The sequence below is a fragment of the Homo sapiens genome, chromosome 3 (assembly GCF_000001405.40).
Source record: "Homo sapiens chromosome 3, GRCh38.p14 Primary Assembly".
NCBI classification, from domain to species: Eukaryota; Metazoa; Chordata; class Mammalia; order Primates; family Hominidae; genus Homo; species Homo sapiens.
Window position 1 is genome coordinate 69,345,337 of NC_000003.12, and position 20,892 is coordinate 69,366,228.

Sequence of the window (20,892 nt, forward strand, 5' to 3'; positions counted from 1 at the left end):
GGAAGCTCGAACTGGGTGGAGCCCACTGCAGCTCAAGGAGGCCTGCCTGCCTCTGTAGACTCCATCTCTGGGGGCAGGGCATAGCCAAACAAAAGGCAGCAGAAACCTCTACAGACTTAAATGTCCCTGTCTGACAGCTTTGAAGAGAGTAGTTGTTCTCCCAGCAGGAGTTTGAGATCTGAGAACGGACAGACTGCCTCCTCAAGTGGGTCCCTGACCCCCGAATAGCCTAACAGGGTGGCACCCCTCAGTAGGATCAGACTGACACCTCACACAGCCGGGTAGTCCTCTGAGACAAAGCCAAAGAAACGATCAGGCAGCAACATTTGCTGTTGAGCAATATTCGCTGTTCTGCAGCCTCTGCTGCTGATACTCAGGCAAACAGCATCTGGAGTGGACCTCTGGCACACTCCAACAGACCTGCAGCTGAGGGTCCTGACTGTTAGAAGGAAAACTAACAAACAGAAAGGACATCCACACCAAAACCCCATCTGTACGTCACCATCATCAAAGACCAAAGGTAGACAAAACCACAAAGATGGGGAAAAAACAGAGCAGAAAAGCTGAAAATTCTAAAAAGCAGAGCGCCTCCCCACCTCCAAAGGAACGCAGCTACTTGCCAGCAATGCAACAAAGCTGGACAGAGAATGACTTTGATGAGTTGAGAGAAGAAGGCTTCAGATGACCAAACTTCTCCAAGCTAAAGGAGGAAGTTTGAACCCATCGCAAAGAAGCTAAAATCCCTGAAAAAAGATTAGACAAATGGCTAACTAGAATAACCAGTGTAGAGATGTCCTTAAATGACCTGATGGAGCTGAAAACCATGGCACAAGAAATACATGATGAATGCACAAGCTCCAGTAGCGATTCGATCAAGCGGAAGAAAGGGTATGAGTGATTGAAGATTAAATGAATGAAATGAAGCGAGAAGAGAAGTTTAGAGAAAAAAGAGTAAAAAGAAATGAACAAAGCCTCCAAGAAATATGGGACTATGTGAAAAGACCAAATCTAGGTCTGATTGGTATACCTGAAAGTGACGGGGAGAATGGAACCAAGTTGGAAAACACTCTGCAAGATATTATCCAGGAGAACTTCCCCAACCTAGCAGGGCAGGCCAACCTTCAAATTCAGGAAATACAGAGAATGCCACAAAGATACTCCTCGAGAAGAGCAACTCCAAGACACATAATTGTCAGATTCACCAAAGTTGAAATGAAGGAAAAAATGTTAAGGGCAGCCAGAGAGAAAGGTTGGGTTACCCACAAAGGGAAGCCCATCAGACTAATAGGGGATCTCTCGGCAGAAACTCTACAAGCCAGAAGAGAGTGGGGGCCAATATTCAACATTCTTAAAGAAAAGAATTTCCAACCCAGAATTTCATATCCAGCCAAACTAAGCTTCATAAGTGAAGGAGAAATAAAATCCTTTACAGACAAGCAAATGCTGAGAGGTTTTGTCACCACCAGGCCTGCCCTAAAAGAGCTCCTGAAGGAAGCACTAAACATGGAAAGGAAAAACCCATACCAGCCACTGCAAAATCAAGCCAAATTGTAAAGACCATCGAGGCTAGGAAGAAACTGCATCAACTAACGAGCAAAATAACCAGCTAACATCATAATGACAGGATCAAATTCACTCATAACAATATTAACCTTAAATGTAAATGGGCTAATTGCTCCAATTAAAAGATGTAGACTGGCAAATTGGATAAAGAGTCAAGACCCATCAGTGTGCTGTATTCAGGAGACCCATCTCACATGCAGAGACACACATAGGCTCAAAATAAAGAGATGAATGAAGGTCTACGAAGCAAATGGAAAACAAAAAAAGGCAAGGGTTGCAATCCTAGTCTCTGATAAAACAGACTTTAAACCAACAAAGATCAAAAGAGACAAAGAAGGCCATTACATAATGGTAAAGGGATCAATTCAACCAGAAGAGCTAACTATCCTAAATATATATGCACCCAATACAGGAGCACCCAGATTCATGAAGCAAGTCCTTAGAGACCTAGAAAGAGACTTAGACTCCCACACAATAATAATGGGAGATTTTAACACTCCACTGTCAACATCAGACAGATCAATGAGACAGAAAGTTAAAAAGGATATCCAGGAATTGAATTCAGCTCTGCACCAAGTGGACCTAATAGACATCTACAGAACTCCCCAGCACAAATCAACAGAATATACATTCTTCTCAGCACCACATTGCACTTATTCCAAAATTGACCACATAGTTGGAAGTAAAGCATTCCTCAGCAAATGTAAAAGAACAGAAATTATAACAAACGGTCTCTCAGACCACAATGCAATCAAACTAGAACTCAGGATTAAGAAACTCACTCAAAACCGCTCAACTATATGGAAACTGAACAACCTGCTCCTGAAAGACTACTGGGTACATAATGAAATGAAGGCAGAAATAAAGATGTTCTCTGAAACCAATGAGAACAAAGACACAACATACCAGAATCTCTGGGACACATTTAAAGCAGTGTGTAGAGGGAAATTTATAGCACTAAATGCCCACAAAAGAAAGCAGGAGAGATCTAAATTTGACACCCTAACATCACAATTAAAAGAACTAGAGAAGCAAGAGCAAACACATTCAAAAGCTAGCAGAAGGCAAGAAATAACTAAGATCAGAGCAGAACTGAAGGAGATAGAGACACTAAAAACCCTTCAAAAAATCAATGAATCCAGGAGCTGGTTTTTTGAAAAGATCAACAAAATTGATAGACTGCTAGCAAGACTAATAAAGAAGAAAAGAGAGAAGAATCAAATAGATGCAATAAAAAATGATAAAGGGGATATCACCATCGATCCCACAGAAATACAAACTACCATCAGAGAATACTATAAACACTTCTACGCAAATAAACTAGAAAATCTAGAAGAAATGGATAAGTTCCTCGACACATACACCCTCCCAAGAATAAACCTGGAAGAAGTTGAATCCCTGAAAAAGACCAATAAGAGGCTCTGAAATTGAGGCAATAATTAATAGCCTACCAACCAAAAAAAGTCCAGGACCAGATGGATTCACAGCCAAATTCTACCAGAGGTACAAGGAGGAACTGGTACCATTCCTTCTGAAACTATTCCAATCAATAGAAAAAGAGGGAATCCTCCCTAACTCATTTTATGAGGCCAGCAACATCCTGATACCAAAGGCTGGCAGAGACACAACAAAAAAAGAGAATTTTAGACCAATATCCCTGATGAACATCGATGCAAAGATCCTCAGTAAAACACTGGCAAACTGAATCCAGCAGCACATCAAAGATCTTATCCACCATGATCAAGTGGGCTTCATCCCCGGGATGCAAGGCTGGTACAACATATGCAAATCAATAAATGTAATCCAGCATATAAACAGAACCAAAGACAAAAACCACATGCTTATCTCAATAGATGCAGAAAACGCCTTTGACAAAATTCAACAGCCCTTTATGCTAAAAACTCTCAATAAATTAGGTATTGATGGGATGTATCTCAAAATAATAAGAGCTATTTAGGACAAACCCACAGTCAATATCATACTGAATGGGCAAAAACTGGAAGCATTCCCCTTGACAACTGGGATGCCCTCTCTCACCACTCCTATTCAACATAGTGTTGGAAGTTCTGGCCAGGGCAATCAGGCAGGAGAAAGAAATAAAGGTATTCATTTAGGAAAAGAGGAAGTCAAATTGTCCCTGTTTGCATATGACATGATTGTATATTTAGAAAACCTCATTGTCTCAGCCTAAAATCTCCTTAAGCTGATAAGCAACTTCAGCAAAGTCTCAGGATACAAAATCAATGTGCTAAAATCACAAGCATTTTTATACACCAATAACAGACAAACAGAGAGCCAAATCATGAGTGAACTCCCATTCACAATTGCTTCAAAGGGAATAAAATACCTAGGAATCCAACTTACAAGGGATGTGAAAGACCTCTTCAAGGAGAACTACAAACCACTGCTCAATGAAATAAAAGAGGACACAAACAAATGGAAGAACATTCCATGCTCATGGATAGGAAGAATCAATATCGTGAAAATGGCCATACTGCCCAAGGTAATTTATAGATTCAAAGCCATTCCCATCAAGCTACCAATGACTTTCTTCACAGAATTGGAAAAAAATACTTTAAAGTTCATATAGAACCAAAAAAGAGCCCGCATTGCCAAGTCAATCCTAAGCCAAAAGAACGAAACTGGAGGCATCAAGCTACCTGACTTCAAACTATACTACAAGGCTACAGTAACCAAAAAAGCATGGTACTGGTACCAAAACAGAGATATAGACCAATGGAACAGAACAGAGCCCTCAGAAATAATATCACACATCTACAACCATCTGATCTTTGACAAACCTGAGAAAAACAAGCAATGGGGAAAGGATTCCCTATTTAATAAATGGTGCTGGGAAAACTGGCTAACCATATGTAGAAAGCTGAAATTGGATCCCTTCCTTACACCTTACACAAAAATTAATTCAAGGTGGATTAAAGACCTAAATGTTAGACCTAAAACCATAAAAACCCTAGAAGAAAACCTAGGCAATACCATTCAGGACATAGGCATGGGCAAGGACTTCATGTCTAAAACACCAAAAGCAATGGCAACAAAAGCCAAAATTGACAAATGGGGTCTAATTAAACTAAAGAGCTTCTGCACAGCAAAAAAACTATCATCAGAGTGAACAGGCAACCTATAGAATGGGAGAAAATTTTCACAACCTACTCATCTGACAAAGGGCTAATATCCAGAATCTACAATGAACTCCAACAAATTTACAAGAAAAAAACAAACAACCCCATGAAAAAGTGGGCAAAGGATATGAACAGACGCTTCTCAAAAGAAGACATTTATGCAACCAATAGACACATGAAAAAATGCTCATCATCACTGGCCATCAGAGAAATGCAAATCAAAATCACAATGAGATACCATCTCACACCAGTTAGAATGGCGATCATTAAAAAGTCAGGAAACAACAGGTGCTGGAGAGGATGTGGAGAAATAGGAACACTTTGACACTGTTGGTGGGACTGTAAACTAGTTCAACCATTGTGGAAGACAGTGTGGCGATTCCTCAGGGATCTAGCAGTAGAAATACCATTTGACCCAGCCATCCCATTACTGCGTATATACCCAAAGGATTATAAATCATGCTGCTTTAAAGACACATGAACATGTATGTTTACTGTGACACTATTCACAATAGCAAAGACTTGGAACCAATCCAAATGTCCAACAGTGATAGACTGGATTAAGAAAATGTGGCACATATACACCATGGAATACTGTGCAGCCATAAAGAAGAATGAGTTCATGTCCTTTGTAGGGACATGGATGGTGCTGGAAACTATCATTCTCAGCAAACTATCGCAAGGACAAATAACCAAACACTGCATGTTCTCACTCACAGGTGGGAATTGAACAATGAGAACACTTGGACACAGGAAGGGGAACAGCACACGCTGGGGCCTGCCTTGGGGTGTGGGGAGGGGGGAGGGGGGAGGGATAGCATTAGGAGATATACCTAATGTAAATGATGAGTTAATGGGTGCAGCACAGCAACATGGCACATGTATACATATGTAACAAACCTGCACATTGTGCACATGTACTCTAGAACTTAAAGTATAATAATAATAAAAAAAGAAAACCAAATGAGAAAATAAACCAATACAAGACAACAGAAGTGTGCATACCTTTACAGCCTGATCTACAAAAGCTTCCTTTAAGGAAAAAAAAAGCAACTGAAGTATACAGCAAGCCCAATACCTTCCTTTCTTAGATTGCTGTTATTGGAATAATAAATTGATTGTTTAACCTTGCCAAATCACATAAACATATATTAATGTATAGTTTACCTGTACTCAGGCTTACTTTTCCAGTTTAGGAAAATATTGCATTTAAAATTTTTTCTAGTTTTCCAACATTAAGCAAGAAAAAAGTCTTAATTGGAGCTTCACAGAATCTACCTCAGGGACAAACGTAAGTCTCATACTTGAATTATGATCCCGAGACAGGCCTCTGCTGAGAGCTCACTAGTATTTTCAGGTTGCCAAAATATTTTTGAAACAAAGAGAAAGTGTTTTAGTATGGTTTTACCTAGCACTATAGCTTTTTGTGATAAGAGACAAGACATGTAGTTCTTTTCCTGGGGTCTTTTGCACACCTGTGCACAGGCTTCTGCTAGCAATTGGAAACCATGCAGAACAGAAAGCAGAATCTCATTTGGATGCAGCTCCCACTTTTCTATTCCAAGATGCACGCACCCATGTAAAGAAACTCTTGCTTCATGAAATTCAGAGATGCTGGAAATTAGGCAAAATCATCCTCTGGCCCAGAAAAGGCAAAGGGTGGACAGAGCATAGATTCGGAACTCAGGAGATCCAGAATCCAGGCTGTGCCCTGCCCCTAACGGGATAGGAAGTCTTAGAAAAATTCCTCCTCTTCTCTGGATTTTAATCTCTTCAGTAACAGAATGAGGAGATTGGACAAAGTGACTTACAAGGTTTCTTCTGGTTTAAATGTTCCATGGCATAAATATATCTAACAATTCTGCTCAGCCAATAATATTTGTCCACCACCCATCACCCTGCCTCCTGATAGTTACTGGGAATTCTCTCCATGGGTGAGACATAGTACCTGTCTGCAGCAACCTCCATTCTAGTAGTAACAACTTCCCTGCATACTTCAAATGTAGGATCAAACACAGTGGAACACACAGAGTATGCTCTGGAGTGGGACTTGGTATATCTGGGAATATATTAGGCCCTCTGCTAAGAGCTGTAGTTTCTGACCCCTGAAAGAGCTGCATAACAAGATAGTCTTACTTCTCAGGATGTTCTATGGCCTGAATCTTCAGAACAGGATCATTTATAATGAGGCCTTAGGTCACCATAATGTCACTCTGAGAATCCAGGTCACAGGACTGCATTTGGATAAGATTATATTCCTTTTCACTCCTTCGGACATTAGATACCTTTAGATAGGACCGATTTAGAGACAATGGACTCATTTCTAAGGCTACACTATTATGTTGTTACATTATAGCAAAAGGGTACTATTCCAGTTCCTATTGTGATATATTTAATTTCTTTGATGTTTCTCTTCTCTACCCAATCCTGCCCACTTCCTCTACAGACTTCCTTCTATCCCCAGGAGTTTTGCAGTCTACTGGATGAGATAATTTCCTTTGTTTTTTACCCAGATATTCCTCCCCTCCACCATCAACATCTACCCATCAAGGAAGAAAAATGGCCACATGGAGTTGGACTTAATGAGTTTGCCATAACCACATTACAAGGCAGCAAAGAAAAAAAACCTTCCCTTTAATAAGGATGTAGGACTTCCTCTGACAAATCATAAAAGTTTTATTAATTAATTGGAAGCCGTCCCCAAAAATGGCATTTCCGAGGTTTCTATCTTGAACTGCTGAATTCTGATCACATAGAATCCTCACCACAAACTAGACTGGAGGACAAAATTCAATTTTCCTTCTTCTTTCTGGAGGCAAAGCAGGGACCCACATCAAAGGATCCTTTCAGATGGGCTGCTAATGAGCTCTAGGACACCACGGAATTTTTGTTGCCAAGTGTTCACAAAAACAGGGAAGGCCCCAAACACATCTTGCTGATGAAACGATGAACAATTATAAATCAAAAAGCATTTCTGTGTTGCTTACTGACACAGTTCCTGCCCTCTCTCTGTCTTTTCTACATCCATAAAGAAACTCCAGTATTTAAAATTTAAAAAAAAAAAGAAGAAGAAAAAAGGAGAGTGGTGGGAGCAGGGGAAAGGGTGATGAAGTGGAATTACATACTTCATATTTGCCAAAGTTCTAAAGCAAAATAAGAAATCAGCCTTTCACGACCTTTAAAGGAGCAAAGATAGCATTAAAACAATGACAGGAAAACCCTCCAGACGATGGGCGTCTTTAAGGACCATCTTCACTTGGTATCAAACAGAGCACATCCAACTCCGTTTTGGAAAAAGTAATTCCTTCACAAGAGTGAAGATAAACATTTCTTGTAATTTCCTTTTCTGCAAGTTGGGTTCTGCAATATTAGTTCTTAGATTAGTCCACCCCCAGTACAATATTAAAATCTGCCCAAGATTTTGCTATGAAATGCCAGTCAAAGCTGAAGAAGCACCGTTACACAGTCTGCAACTGGAAGATCATAAAAAAAAATCATTCTTACCTCCGAACCACCATGACCTCGGCTCATTTAAAGGAACTGAAGAGAGTGCTTAAGACAAAAGACACACGTATTAAGCACTTGTGCGGTGTGTGTGTGTGTGCGCGCGCGTGTGTGTGCGCGCATGTGCTTGCATTTTCTCCAACTACAAGCCAGTGGAAGTAGGAACTTAAAAACTCCCGACGCCTTCCGCTGCCATATAATCTCAAGGAAATGACCATACTGTTTGTTTCTTTGATTAGAAACAAAAGCCTTTCAATATGAGTCACGGGAGAAATGGGAAAATAAAAACAACTAAAAAACTTCTGCTATTTCTTTTGGCCACTCAAACGCTTTCTTTACAACACATTTAAAACATATGATGAAATGTCATCTACTGTTTTCTAAACTTCCTTGATAATGCAAGCTTTAGGTTGGGTAATTATTCAGAGATAGGCGATGCCATGTATGAATCTAAACTTCTATGCATGTTCTGGATGAGGCTGGGAATTTAATGAATATAAATAAAAACAATATTTAACTCAACTTTGCTACTCACAGCCAGTTGATGTTAACAGCTTTTCCACTCAGAAAGAAACTTAGAATTCCATGGAACAACCTTAGTAAAATCAATCAGAGATGCCAGCCACAACAGAAAATCTTGGCAGAATGACGTGGTCTCAGAAAAGATTCATTTCACTATTTGCATTTAATGAAATCATTACTATTGAAGTCATTCAGTGAATAGGAAATAATCAAAATACATTATGCTTGAAGGCAGAGAGAAAAACATATAGAATACTGGAAAAATAATAAATTTACTTTTTTTAAAAAAAGAGAATGACTAAGTAAAAGTTTGTGACAGGGTATCATGCTTCTCCCTCCTGAAAAAAAGAACAGTCTGGAATTTTGCTCAGGAGTATGGTATGGTTAAGAATATAACCATAAGATTAAATCTCTAAGACTCTCTAGAGTCAGAGAAACCTCGTGTTTTACAGTTGTATATATCCTTGGGAAAGTTACTTGATCTTTCTGAGAATTGGTTCCCTCCTTTGTAAAATGGAGATAAAAATCCTGATCTCCTTCAGGAGTGCTGGGGAAATTAAAAGAGATAGTTCATGCAAAGCTCAAAGAATTTGCCTGGGAGATACCACAGGTATCTAAATATAGGGTGGGGTACCTCCCTTTACCCCCACAAAATGTTAATCCCTCAGAAACCGGGGAGTGGCTTTATCTTCAGATCCTTCTAAAGACTCTAATTACTATGACCACAATATACTGTCTGGGGAAGACATGGCAGCCTGTAACAACTTCAGTCAATGCTAAGTTTGGATGCAAATAGAAGTCACTTGATGATATCAGTAGAAAAGGTGGCAAAAAGTTTAATACATATTTAGTAATTATTTGTGAGCACGTGACCTCCCAATTGGACGGGTTGGATGTTAGAAGAAACAAGTTACTTAAACATTATTTCATGCACATATACTTGTAGGATAAATGGAAAAAGGAAAAAAAAAAAAGCTGGGCAATGATATTCCCAGAAAAGCATCATATATGGAGATTGAAAAAGTGCTATATAGCTCAAACAACTTGGGCAGAAGTGGAGATGCTGCGCTGTGATAAAAGGATGACTCAAAGAGGACTTTTGTTCCAGTGCCAGCACACACATGCACATGAAGAAGCTGAATAAAATTATCCTATCAAGAGGGAGAGCACAAGGCAGAAATCACTCCAGTTATTAATCTGCATAACAAGTGTTATGAGCACTCCTAATATTAGGAGTAAATTTTCTAATATTTCATATACATTTCTAAAATTTTATATAGGTTGACCCAAAACATTTGCCTGAGTCTTCTTGTTTGGAAGGTGGGGAATTATTGTATTACTTTATTTGACAGAACCTTCTATTTGTTAATATATAACAGTAAAAACTCAATACATGGTACCTTTTCTTACTGGGTTGGAGAGTCGACTGAGAGAACTAGTGGGACATTTCTGATTGTATGGTAAAAATGTTTTCACTGTTGAAGGACAATCGGAATGTTGATAGCCAGTTTCAGCAGCAAGTTGGGCTAGATTAGGCAAGGCTAAAACCAGGAGGCCAGGGCAGCTTGAGGGCCAGATGAAGGTTGACAGACCAAATTAGGGGGGAGGCTGGGTAAGCTCAGGTTATGGTGTGAGAACACATAGAGATGGAGTCTACCAGGAGTATTAAAATTAGGAGGCCGGGCACAGTGTCTCACACCTGTAATCTCAGCACTTTGGGAGGCTGAGGTTGGCAGATCACCTGAGGTAAGGGGTTTGAGACCAGCCTGGCCAACATGGCGTAACCCCATCTCTACTACAAATACAAAAATTAGCCAGGTGTGGTGGCCGGCACCTGTATTCCCAGCTACTCGGGAGGCTGAAGCAGGAGAATTGCTTCAACCTGGGAGCCGGAGGTTGCAGTGAGCTGAGATCACACCACTGCACTCCAGCCTGGGTGACAGAGCAAGCAAGATTCCATCTCAAAAAAGAAAAAAAATTAGGAAACAGGATCCCCGCTTTTCTTTGGGGACACCATCCAAATAACTGGGGGTAGGGGGGAACCCCATATCCCCATATAAAGAAGATGAATATGTGATTCAAGACTGACCAATAAAATCACTCTACCCCCATGTGATGGTTAATACTTAGTGTCAACTTGATTGGATTGAAGGATGCCAAGTATTGATCCTGGGTGTGCCTCTGAGGGTATTGCCAAAGGAGATTAACATTTAAGTCAGTGGGCTGGGAAAGGCAGACCCACCCGTGATGTGGGTGGGCACCATCTGATCAGCTGCCGCTGTGGCCAGAATATAAAGCAGGCAGAAAAATGTGAAAAGACAAGACTGGCCTAGCCTCCCAGCCTACATCTTTCTCTCGTGCTGGATGCTTCCTGACCTGGAATATCAGACTCCAAGTTCTTCAGTTTGGGGACTCGGACTGGCTCTCCTTGCTCCTCAGCCTGCAGACGGCCTATTGTGGGACCTTGTTATCATGTGAGTTAATACTTAATAAACTCCCCTTTATATATAGATATATATATACACACACACATACATATATACACACACGTATATATACATATATATAATATATATACATATATATATAATATCCTATTAACTCTGTCCCTTTAGAGAACCCTTACTAATACACCCCATACCCATTAGTCATAGGGATCAGAGAAGAAGTATCTTTGTTTTTGTTTGTTCTGGAGTTACAAAGTTGCTTGGATGAAAATCTGGGGCTACCAGGAAACCTCATGCCAGACAGAAGAGTTGGAGAGAGACATACTCCAATGTCACTGTCTGAATTATGAAATGCCATTGAACCTGAAGTCATTCCCTGGCCTTTTCAGTTACTGAGTCTATAATTTCCGTTTCTGCTCAAGCTGGTTCTGATTTTTAAACAAAACTTTATTTGCAAACAAAAATATCCTATCTAATATGTCAGTTTGTGTGAGAAAGGATAATTGGAATCTGACACCATTAGTCCACTGACCAACACTGTTCAAGAATGTGGGTGCTTATAAACACAGGATTGGAGAGTTTGGTGGGGCTCTAGGTGCAAAGACGGGACAAGGGCATAGGTGCCAGGGATTCAGTCGTGAGGAAATGGATAATTCCTGCAGTAGTAGGGTATCAGATAGGAGTTTTGTAATCAGTAAATCAGAAGGGGTCCCAGATAACTGGCATTCAAAGGCCAGAATGGGACAGTGGCAAAGCTGATGCTATATCCAACTTGAAACAAATGTTCTTCCAAATGCCTTCTGCCGTGCAGCCAGATACAAGGCAGGGCTTAACCTGGGATTCAGGAATGTAGACTTGGGGAGCCCTGTTTAGGAGTCCCGTTGAAAATGAAACTATATCCTGGAATAGGTCCAAATGAAATATGAGCTTATATGTGAAACTGTGCCTATAAAATACAAATTGTGACACAGTTGGATGATCACCTAACTGGTGAGCTTGTACATATGTATTGGTGACTTTGTGGAGGGTTTTATTGACTGTGAGGGTGGAATAAAGGAAATATGTCCACCAATTTAAGGAAAAATTTGTGGAAGCAGGATCCCAATTTTTGTCTTTAGGAGAAGCTTTGCGTTTTATCTCAAAACTATCACTTTCATCACAGAACATTTCACATACTGAATGAATGCCAGACGCACCATAAAATCACAACAGAGGCAATGTATTGCAGTTTTCCAAAATTCTGACAGCTGGGCATAGCACTAAACCATTTGTCATAAAGTAAGAGGACAAACTTGAAGACCAGCTCATCTCCTCCTAAATTTAGTGAGGTTTGCACTAAAGAAAAAATATTTCCTCATAACTTCTCATCCTTCTCTAATTCAGCCTCTAGAAACAATTCAGTTTCAGTTCAAATATTTCTTGAGCATCAAATACATGCAGAGGCCTTACAAGGAAGTCAAATATGAAAACACCATGGTTCTGACCTTCGAAAAATTTGCAGCCTGGACCTGGCATCTCTCAAAAAGAGAAGAGTAATCACTTTATTTGTCACCTCATAGTCAACTCTGCAATTGAGGAATTACACATTTCTTTCACACACATGCTGGTTTCTGTTTTTAATCTTTTATCAATCTGTATGTCAGAGCTCCTTGGATACCTGATGATTTTTCTTAAATTTGCATTCACTGCAGTAATTATTTTTTGAATGTCTATCAGGTATTGGATGTCAGAGCTGGGTGTGTGGCCTATGTAGGCCCACAGGATTCAGTGCTCAGAAGGGCCTCATGCTTGGTTTAGTGTTCTGCTGTCTCACAATTCTTAATCATTTTTGAACAAGGAATCCCACATTTTCATTTTGCATTGTGCTATGGTTTGAATGTCCCCACTAAAACTCATGTTAAAATTTGATTGCCATTTTCACAGTATTAAGAGGTGGGACTGGCCAGATCCGGGGGGCACATGCCTGTAATCCCAGCAGTTTGGGAAGCCAAAAAAAACAGATTGCTTGAGTTCAGGAGTTTGAGACCAGCCTGGGCAATATAGTGAAACTCCATCTCTACAAAATACACAAAAATTAGCCAAGTGTGGTGGCATGCGCCTATAGTCCCAGATACTCAGGAGGCTGAGGTAGGAGAATCACTTGAGCCTGGGAGGTTGAGGCTGCAGTGAGCCAAGACTCTGCCACTACACTTCAGCCTGGGTGACACAGTGAGACCCTGCCTCAAAAACAAACAAATAAACAAACAAAAAAAGAAGTGGGACCTTCAAGACATGATAATGGATTATTAATTCATTGTCACAGAAGTAGATGAGTTATCATGGAGGTGGGCTTCTAATAAAAGATAAGTTCAGCCCACATTTTTCCTGTTTCTTCCTGTGAACCTGTGCACCCTTCTGCCTTCAGCCATGGGATGACCCTGCCAGATGCCAGTGCCATGTTGTTGGACTTCCCAGCCTCCAGAACCATGAGCCAAATAAATCTGTTTTCTTTATAAATTACCCAGTCTGTGGTATTTGGCTATAGACACAGAAAAGATATGTAGAGTCTGGTAAATTATGTAGCTAGCTCTGCTGGGCATGGTGCTAAGTGGTGGGGGAACAGCAGTGAGCAGGAGAGGTATCCAGAGGGTGGCATGAAACAAAAAATAATTTAATTCATAAATGAGGTAATTTCAGACAAGAGTAAGACTTAGGAGGAAAATAAAGCAGGAGGACATGATAAAGAGGGGTGGAGAACGCTGTATGGGGAGAGTGAGCTCCTGGATTAAGACTGGAGGTCAGGAAAGAGCCAGCCACAGGTTAGTTGGTTTCAGGACCATTTCTGCCTTGTTCAGGGCTATAACACGTGGAACCTGGAAAGTTCTCAACTAATATTTTGAATGAATAGAACTTCTGTTTAAAAAGGAAAAGTACCAAATACAGAAAATTAATTCATAATTTAGTACAAACTGGGACTGACCGATAAGGAACATTTAAGTTTATTTAAGGTCTCCTTCAGGATCACATGTTTTAGCAGCTGGAGGGGGTGCACTATGTCCAGGAAAAACAACCCTGATGGAAAAGTTCATTACTCATATTCCCCTCTAGACAGAAAAAGAGGGAAAACTTTTGTGCTCGGCGAATTTTCTTGTTTTCTTAACCATAAATGGAAAAACAGAGATGAAAAGAGGTAGGGAGAGAAGCAGGCATGATAGGGGTTTCCTTTCTGTCTGTTTCACAGGTTGAAGGCCATGACTTTTGACTTGGTTTTACCATAAGGCACGTGCAGTTTTTTAGGTGACGCACATAAACTTTGTAAAATTGAGTCTCATCTCTGTGTTTGGAAAAATGAAGAGAAAAGGGTATTCAAAGTTCATTCTTGAAATCCATTTTACAAATGGGAAACTGAAGCACGGAGATGTCTGGTAGCATAAGTCTCCCCAGTTGGGGGTAGAAGAACAGGATTTGAACCCAGGGCCCATGCTCTTACAAATGGCCTTTCCATTTGGCCATTGTAGACAAGGTGGAATGCATCCAGGGGTTAACACTCAGGCATTCTGTTAGATTTCCTTCCTGTCTTTCTGCAGAACCTGGAGTTTTGTTTTCCCCTTTCTCTCTCCCTTTGTATTCCTTTAAAACCAAAACAAAAAAGTTTTTGTAGTGGAAAATTTCAAGTACACACAAAAAGTCAAAGACCAGTGTCATAACCACCTCCCATTTTTCCACCTAGTTTCAAGTTATCAACACCTGGCTAATATTGTTTCATTTATATTCTTGCCTACTTTCTGTCCTCCTATATGTATTATTTTGAAGCAAAACCAAGACTTAAGTAATTTCATCTGTAAATAATTCAATATAAAAGATAAGGACTCTTTTTTAAACATAACCCTAAATACTTAAAAAAGTTAACAGTAATTCCTTAATATCATCAGATCTCTAGTCTTCAAATATCCAATTATCTGATTAATGTCTTTTTTCCCCAAGTTTGTTTGAATCAAAATAAAAAAAAGCTCCACATTTTGCAACTGGTTGATATTTTCCTTAGGTCTCTGTTAACCTACAGGTTCCTGTTCCATCCATCTCTCTCTTTTTCTCTCCTCTCTCTCTCATTGCAATTCATTTGTTGAAGAAACTAGGCTGTTTATCCTGTAAATTCTCCTAGCACCTAAGTTTTGCTGATTGCATTCCCTTGGTGTCACTTAAATGTTCCTCTGTTTACCATGGTTCCTGTAGGTTGGTTGAGTCCCAAGGCTTTATCAGATTTCAGTTAGATCTTTTTTGGCAATACTATCTCATAGGTCGCCACTTGTGTTTTTTCATTAGAAGAGCCATTTCTTTTTGTGACATTAGCAGCTGCTAATGCTCAACAGCTATATCATTTAATTAATTAGAAGTGGCAGTATGATGGCATTCTAATTCTATTATCCCTTACTTACTAGTGAGAATATTTCTATAATGAGAGATTTTTTTCCTTATCTATTAATTGGTTACCCAGTAGTATAATTCATACAAGAAAGGCAGAGAAAATGTTTGACTCTTTATCTTTATTTGCCAGTTTCCAAAATAACGAGTTGGGTACTTTCAAGGGTGGTCAAAGTGCATTTTGTCATTATGAACATATGCATTTAAATATAATTTATGTGTTTCAATCCATTAAAGTTATTTTCTTTTTTTAAAATTTTCTTTACTGATATTCAGATTGGGCCATTTTGGTGAGTGAGAGCCTCTTCAAGCCAGTTTCCAAGTCCTTGTGACATGGTTTTAGTAGTATTTGTCAGCTTCCTTGCTACCAGTAGTATTTGTCAGCTTCCTTGCTACCTGGGATAAAAAGATGCTCATCTTGTGCATTTACTACTCAAAACCTGGGCAGTGTCTGTTACTGCTTTTTGTTTCATTTAGAAAATTACACTATAAATGATGCATAATAAAAATACATATTTTAGGTATTACAGCCATGTTATCCACATCCCCCCCAAGATATAAAACTTTTCCAGAAAGCTACCTCTGCCAATCTTTCCCTACCTCCCATAACAACCACTATTCAGATTTCTATCACAATAGATTAGTTTTTCCTGTTGTAGAACTTCATACAAATTGAATTATGGAGTATGTATTTTTTAATACCTGGCTTCTTTTACTGAGCAAAATGTTTTTGATATTCATTCATGGTGTTGCATGTATTAGCAATTCATTCATTTTCTGATCGCTGAGTAGTATCCATTGCATGAATATAGTATAGTTTATTTATCTCCTCTCTTGTTAATGGAAATCAGTTGTTCTCAGTTTGGGGGTATTAGAAGTTATAAGCTATGAATATTCTTTTACAAGCTGTGTGTGTATGCATGTGTGTGCACATGCATATGTTTTCATTTCTCTTGAATAAATGTGCATGAATAGAGCTAACAGATCATAGGATGAATGTACGTTTAACTGCCAAATAATTTCCTAAAAGGTCATACCATTTTACACTGCCAATATATGAGAGATCTGGTTATCCCACATCTTTGCCAAAATGTGGTATTATAGGTCTTCTTAATTTTAGTTATTTTAGTGACTGTGAAGTAGTAGAAGCATTTGTGTTTAAGTGACTTTTTGTTTGCACAGGTATAGGTTTAGGTGATAATTGTAGATTAATAATAACAAGCACTTATATAGTACTTCATATGTGCCATACTCTGTTCCTGTTTATTATAAATATAAACTCCACAATAACTTTGAGGTCGGGACTATTATTATTATCTCCATTTTACAGATGAGAACACTGAGGCATAGAGAGGTTAAATAACTTACATGAAATCACAGCCAGGAAGTAGCAGATGAAGGCTTTGAACCTACACAGTTTGGCTCCAAATTTCAGGCTCTTGACTTGTGTGCTCTTCTGCCTCTCACAATTGTTAATTGGAATCCTTTCCAGTTCTCTAGCATTTCACTGAGACACTGGTAAATATTTCTGGTTAAGACAACTATCACGAAGTCAGGAGCTCGAGACCAGCCTGACCAACATGGTAACACCCCATCTCTACTAAAAGTACAAAATTAGCTGGGCACGGTGGCGCATGCCTGTAATTCCAGCTACTCAGGAAGCTGAGGCAGGAGAATCGCTTGAAACTGGAAGGCGGAGGTTGCAGTGAGCCGGGATCGTGCCACTGCACTCCAGCCTGGGTGACAGAGTGAGACTCCATCTCAAAACAACAACAACAAAAAGCCAACCCCCCCCCCAAAAAAACAAACAAAAAACAAAAACAAACTATCATGTTAATTTAAAAATCCCATACTTTTTAAAATAAAGAACTGTGAATTTTAAACAATTTCTTTCTATTCCTGCCCATCTTATTCTGAACTTAAACATTTTCCTTATATCAGCACATCTCCAATTTTTATTATATGTTTCCTAAAAAGTTTTTCATTTTGAATACTTTTGTTGTTGTTGTTGGACAATTCTTCTATAAGTCCTGACCTTCAAGTCCTGAGCTTATATTGTATCAGAATGCTTTTTACAGTAAAAAAAAAAAAAACAAACAAAAAGTGAAAATAACTTTAATAATATGGATCTATATTCTCAGTATCTCCAGGTAGGGCAGTGCCAAGGTTGGTGAGGTCAACAGATTAGCAATATCGTAAAAGTCCCAGGCTTCTTCTATTTTTCCACCCGGCCCATTCTTCTTACGTAACATTCCCTCATGGTTGCAATATAGCTGCCATCCTTGAAGCTCTCACATCTCCACTCCAAAAAAAAGGATCACTTCTTTTTACCATGTTTTTTTTTTTTTTTTAAATAGAGATGGGTCTTGCCATGTTGCCCGGGCTGGTCTTGAACTCCTGAGCTCAAGTGATCCTCCCATCTTGACCTCCCAAAGTGTTGGGATCATAGGTATGAGCCTCTGCACCTGGCCTCCATGCCTTTTTTTTTTTTTTTGAGACGGAGTCTTGCTCTGTTGCCCAGGCTGGGGTGCAGTGGCACAATCTCAGCTCACTGCAAGCTCCGCCTCCTGGGTTCACGCCATTCTCCTGCCTCAGCCTCCCGAGTAGCTGGGACTACAGGCGCCTGCCACCACGCCTGGCTAATTTTTTGTATTTTTAGTAGAGACGGAATTTCACCATGTTAGCCAGGATGGTCTCAATCTCCTGACCTCGTGATCCGCCTGCCTTGGCCTCCCAAAGTGCTAGGATTACAGGCGTGAGCCACTGCACCTGGCCCAGCCATGCCTATTTTCAAGAACAGACAGCTTTTTAAGAAATGGCTCCCCATTGACCAGAGCTGGGTCCTATGTTTACCCTTAACCAATCCCTGGCAGAGGAATAAGGTCATCATGACTAGCTTCAACCACAGCTTCAAAACCAGTGTACTGAGGCAACAGGTGTACTGAGCTATTGGTCTTTTCAGGACTGGAGGCAGCCAGAGACAATTTGGTGATCACCTCCAGCCTGAGCAGCTTCTTCCATTTACTCCAGGTGCCACACAAACACTATCATTTTCTGTGTATTCTATGACATCAGAGAAAGTAGGGAAGCACTGGGTTAGAGACCAATCAATCAGTATTTACCCAAGTTATATGGGCAAGGGGGTGATATTGATCCCTGAACCAAATCAGGCCTCTCAGGATGAAAGAAGCAAAGAATGGATGTTTAAATCAGGCTTAGAAAATGAACACAAAACAAGAGAACCCACAGGGAGCAAAGTAACAAGTTATGTCACGCGACTATCTTGCCTGTCCCACTCACCTCAGTTACTGCCTTGATGATTCTGACTTCCAAACATCCTGTCCTTTTAGCTCAAACTCAGAAGACAGGAACATGCAAGTTTAGCCAAGCTGAACCAGGGGACAGACAGAGGACAAGCTGGCCCCTTGGTGGCCACGGCAGGAAGCATGCGCTGGGACCTGCCATTTTGCCATCTGCCTGGTGGGCACCTCCAGAAGGGAGACTGGGTGCTAATGGTATGCCAGTGGTGAGTGAGCAGCTAAAAAATATGACAAAAACATTCATTGGGAAACTTCCTGCAGCAATTCCAGTTTGCCTCTGAGTCAGCCTGGCTCTGGTTAAAGTCTATATACAAACAAATCTGTGGGTCAACCCATCTTCACCCTCAGGGCACTATCTCCAGAATAACCATGGCATTAATGGGATCAGCAGTTTCAATCATCTCCTGAGTAATCAGTTCTGGTGCCTCCCCAAATGAGACAAATGACAGTTTCATGGTCGCTCGTGGCTATGAAATCTCATCGAGACAATTCGACTCTGGTTAAATTATATTTAAGTTAATAAATATGAATTTAGATGGCCAAAGAAGCTCAAAAACCCCTGGGCATCTAAGACAAAAAAGAAAAAATAAATGGTGCAGCATTCTGTTCTCCTACCCCAAGCTTTCTCACTTGTTTTTTTAAAAAAATAAATAAAGGCCTTGGTGATTCCTTCTCAGTTCATCTAAATGAAGTTTAGGCCATTTACAGAAGAGATAAAACAAAATTGCTGAAATTCACTAAACAGTAAAGGAGGAAACCACAATATGAAACCGAATAGTATAGTGATTATAAAAAGCAATAACTATTCTCAGCCATTTCTAAAGCTTAAGATTTTAGTGCATAACAGAGAGGCTGTGTGAACATCTATCTTTATGGCACTTGGGTTTTAACCAGCAATGCTCTATATAAACCTATTTTAACTATACAAGGAAATTCCATATCACTCTGAGATGACAAATATTCTCTAGGAGACTAAAACCTGCTCTCAAGTCTGGCTCTAAAATTGTTCTCAAACCAATTTATACTGTGACAAAACACAGTATGTGTTTCCCCCAATGTTATCGGGCAAGAACAACTCCAGTATTCCAAGTATCATGGTCCTTAAGAAAGTTATGGAAATTGGACATCTCTACTAATAAATGAAGTAAAATAAAAACAAATAAAATGTACATTTTTGGCCAGCAGACTGGTATAAATCAAAGTTGCTAGCTAGAATGTGGACAAGAATGATTCTTATTCACTTGGTAGTAGCATAAATAGATACAACCTTTGTTTTTTTTCTTTTTTTTGAGATGGAGTCTTGCTCTGTTGCCCAGGCTGGGGTGCAGTGAAGCAATCTCGACTCACCACAAACTGCCTCCCGAATCAAGCAATTCTCCTGCCTTAGCCTCTGAATAGCTGGGATTACATGCGCACTTCACCACGCCTGGCTAATTTTAGTATTATTACAGACGGGGCTTCACCATGTTGGCCAGGCTCATCTTGAACTCTTGACTTCAAGTGATACACCCGCCTCGGCCTCCCAAAGTGCTGGGATTACAGGTGTGAGCCACCGCACTCAGCTGTGGAATTTTCGGAAAACCAAATTCCTTCCAAATTCCAGCAATATCATTTCAAAGTATTCACTTCACAGAAATGCTCCCACAAATGTTTTATGTATAAGAATGGTTACTGTAGCATTGTCTTAGTAAAAATTAGAAACAGGTCAAGCATGGTGGCTTATGCCCGTAATCCCAGCACTTTGAGAGGCTGAGGAGGGGGCAGATCATTTGAGGCCAGGAGTTTGAGATCAATCTGGCCAACATGGAAAAACCCCACCTCTACAAAACACACACACACACACACACACACACACACACACACACACACACACAAAATTAGCTGGTCATGGTGGCACAGGCTTGTAATCCCGGCTACTTGGGAGGCTAAGGCAGGAGAATTGTTTGAACCCAGGAGGCGGAGGTTGCAGTGGGCCGAGATTGCATCACTGCACTC

The 20,892-nt window shown here is 40.0% G+C and overlaps 1 protein-coding gene across 10 annotated transcripts in view; it reads right to left on the minus strand.

Annotated features, from left to right (window-relative positions):
- Positions 1-20,892, minus strand: part of FRMD4B (FERM domain containing 4B) — a 373,805-nt gene that overhangs the window by 176,555 nt on the left and 176,358 nt on the right. For 2 of the 10 annotated variants that reach the window (XM_005264722.2, XM_017005990.2), the window contains exon 1: positions 8,208-8,351. The exons of 7 other annotated variants lie outside the window; for them this stretch is intronic. In XM_005264722.2, coding sequence (XP_005264779.1) covers positions 8,208-8,234 — 27 coding nt within the window. In that variant the 5' untranslated portion in view covers positions 8,235-8,351. Of the gene's footprint in view, positions 1-8,207; positions 8,352-18,877; positions 20,135-20,892 lie in introns of those variants that run through there. One more of the 10 variants, XM_047447770.1, reaches the window with a different exon arrangement.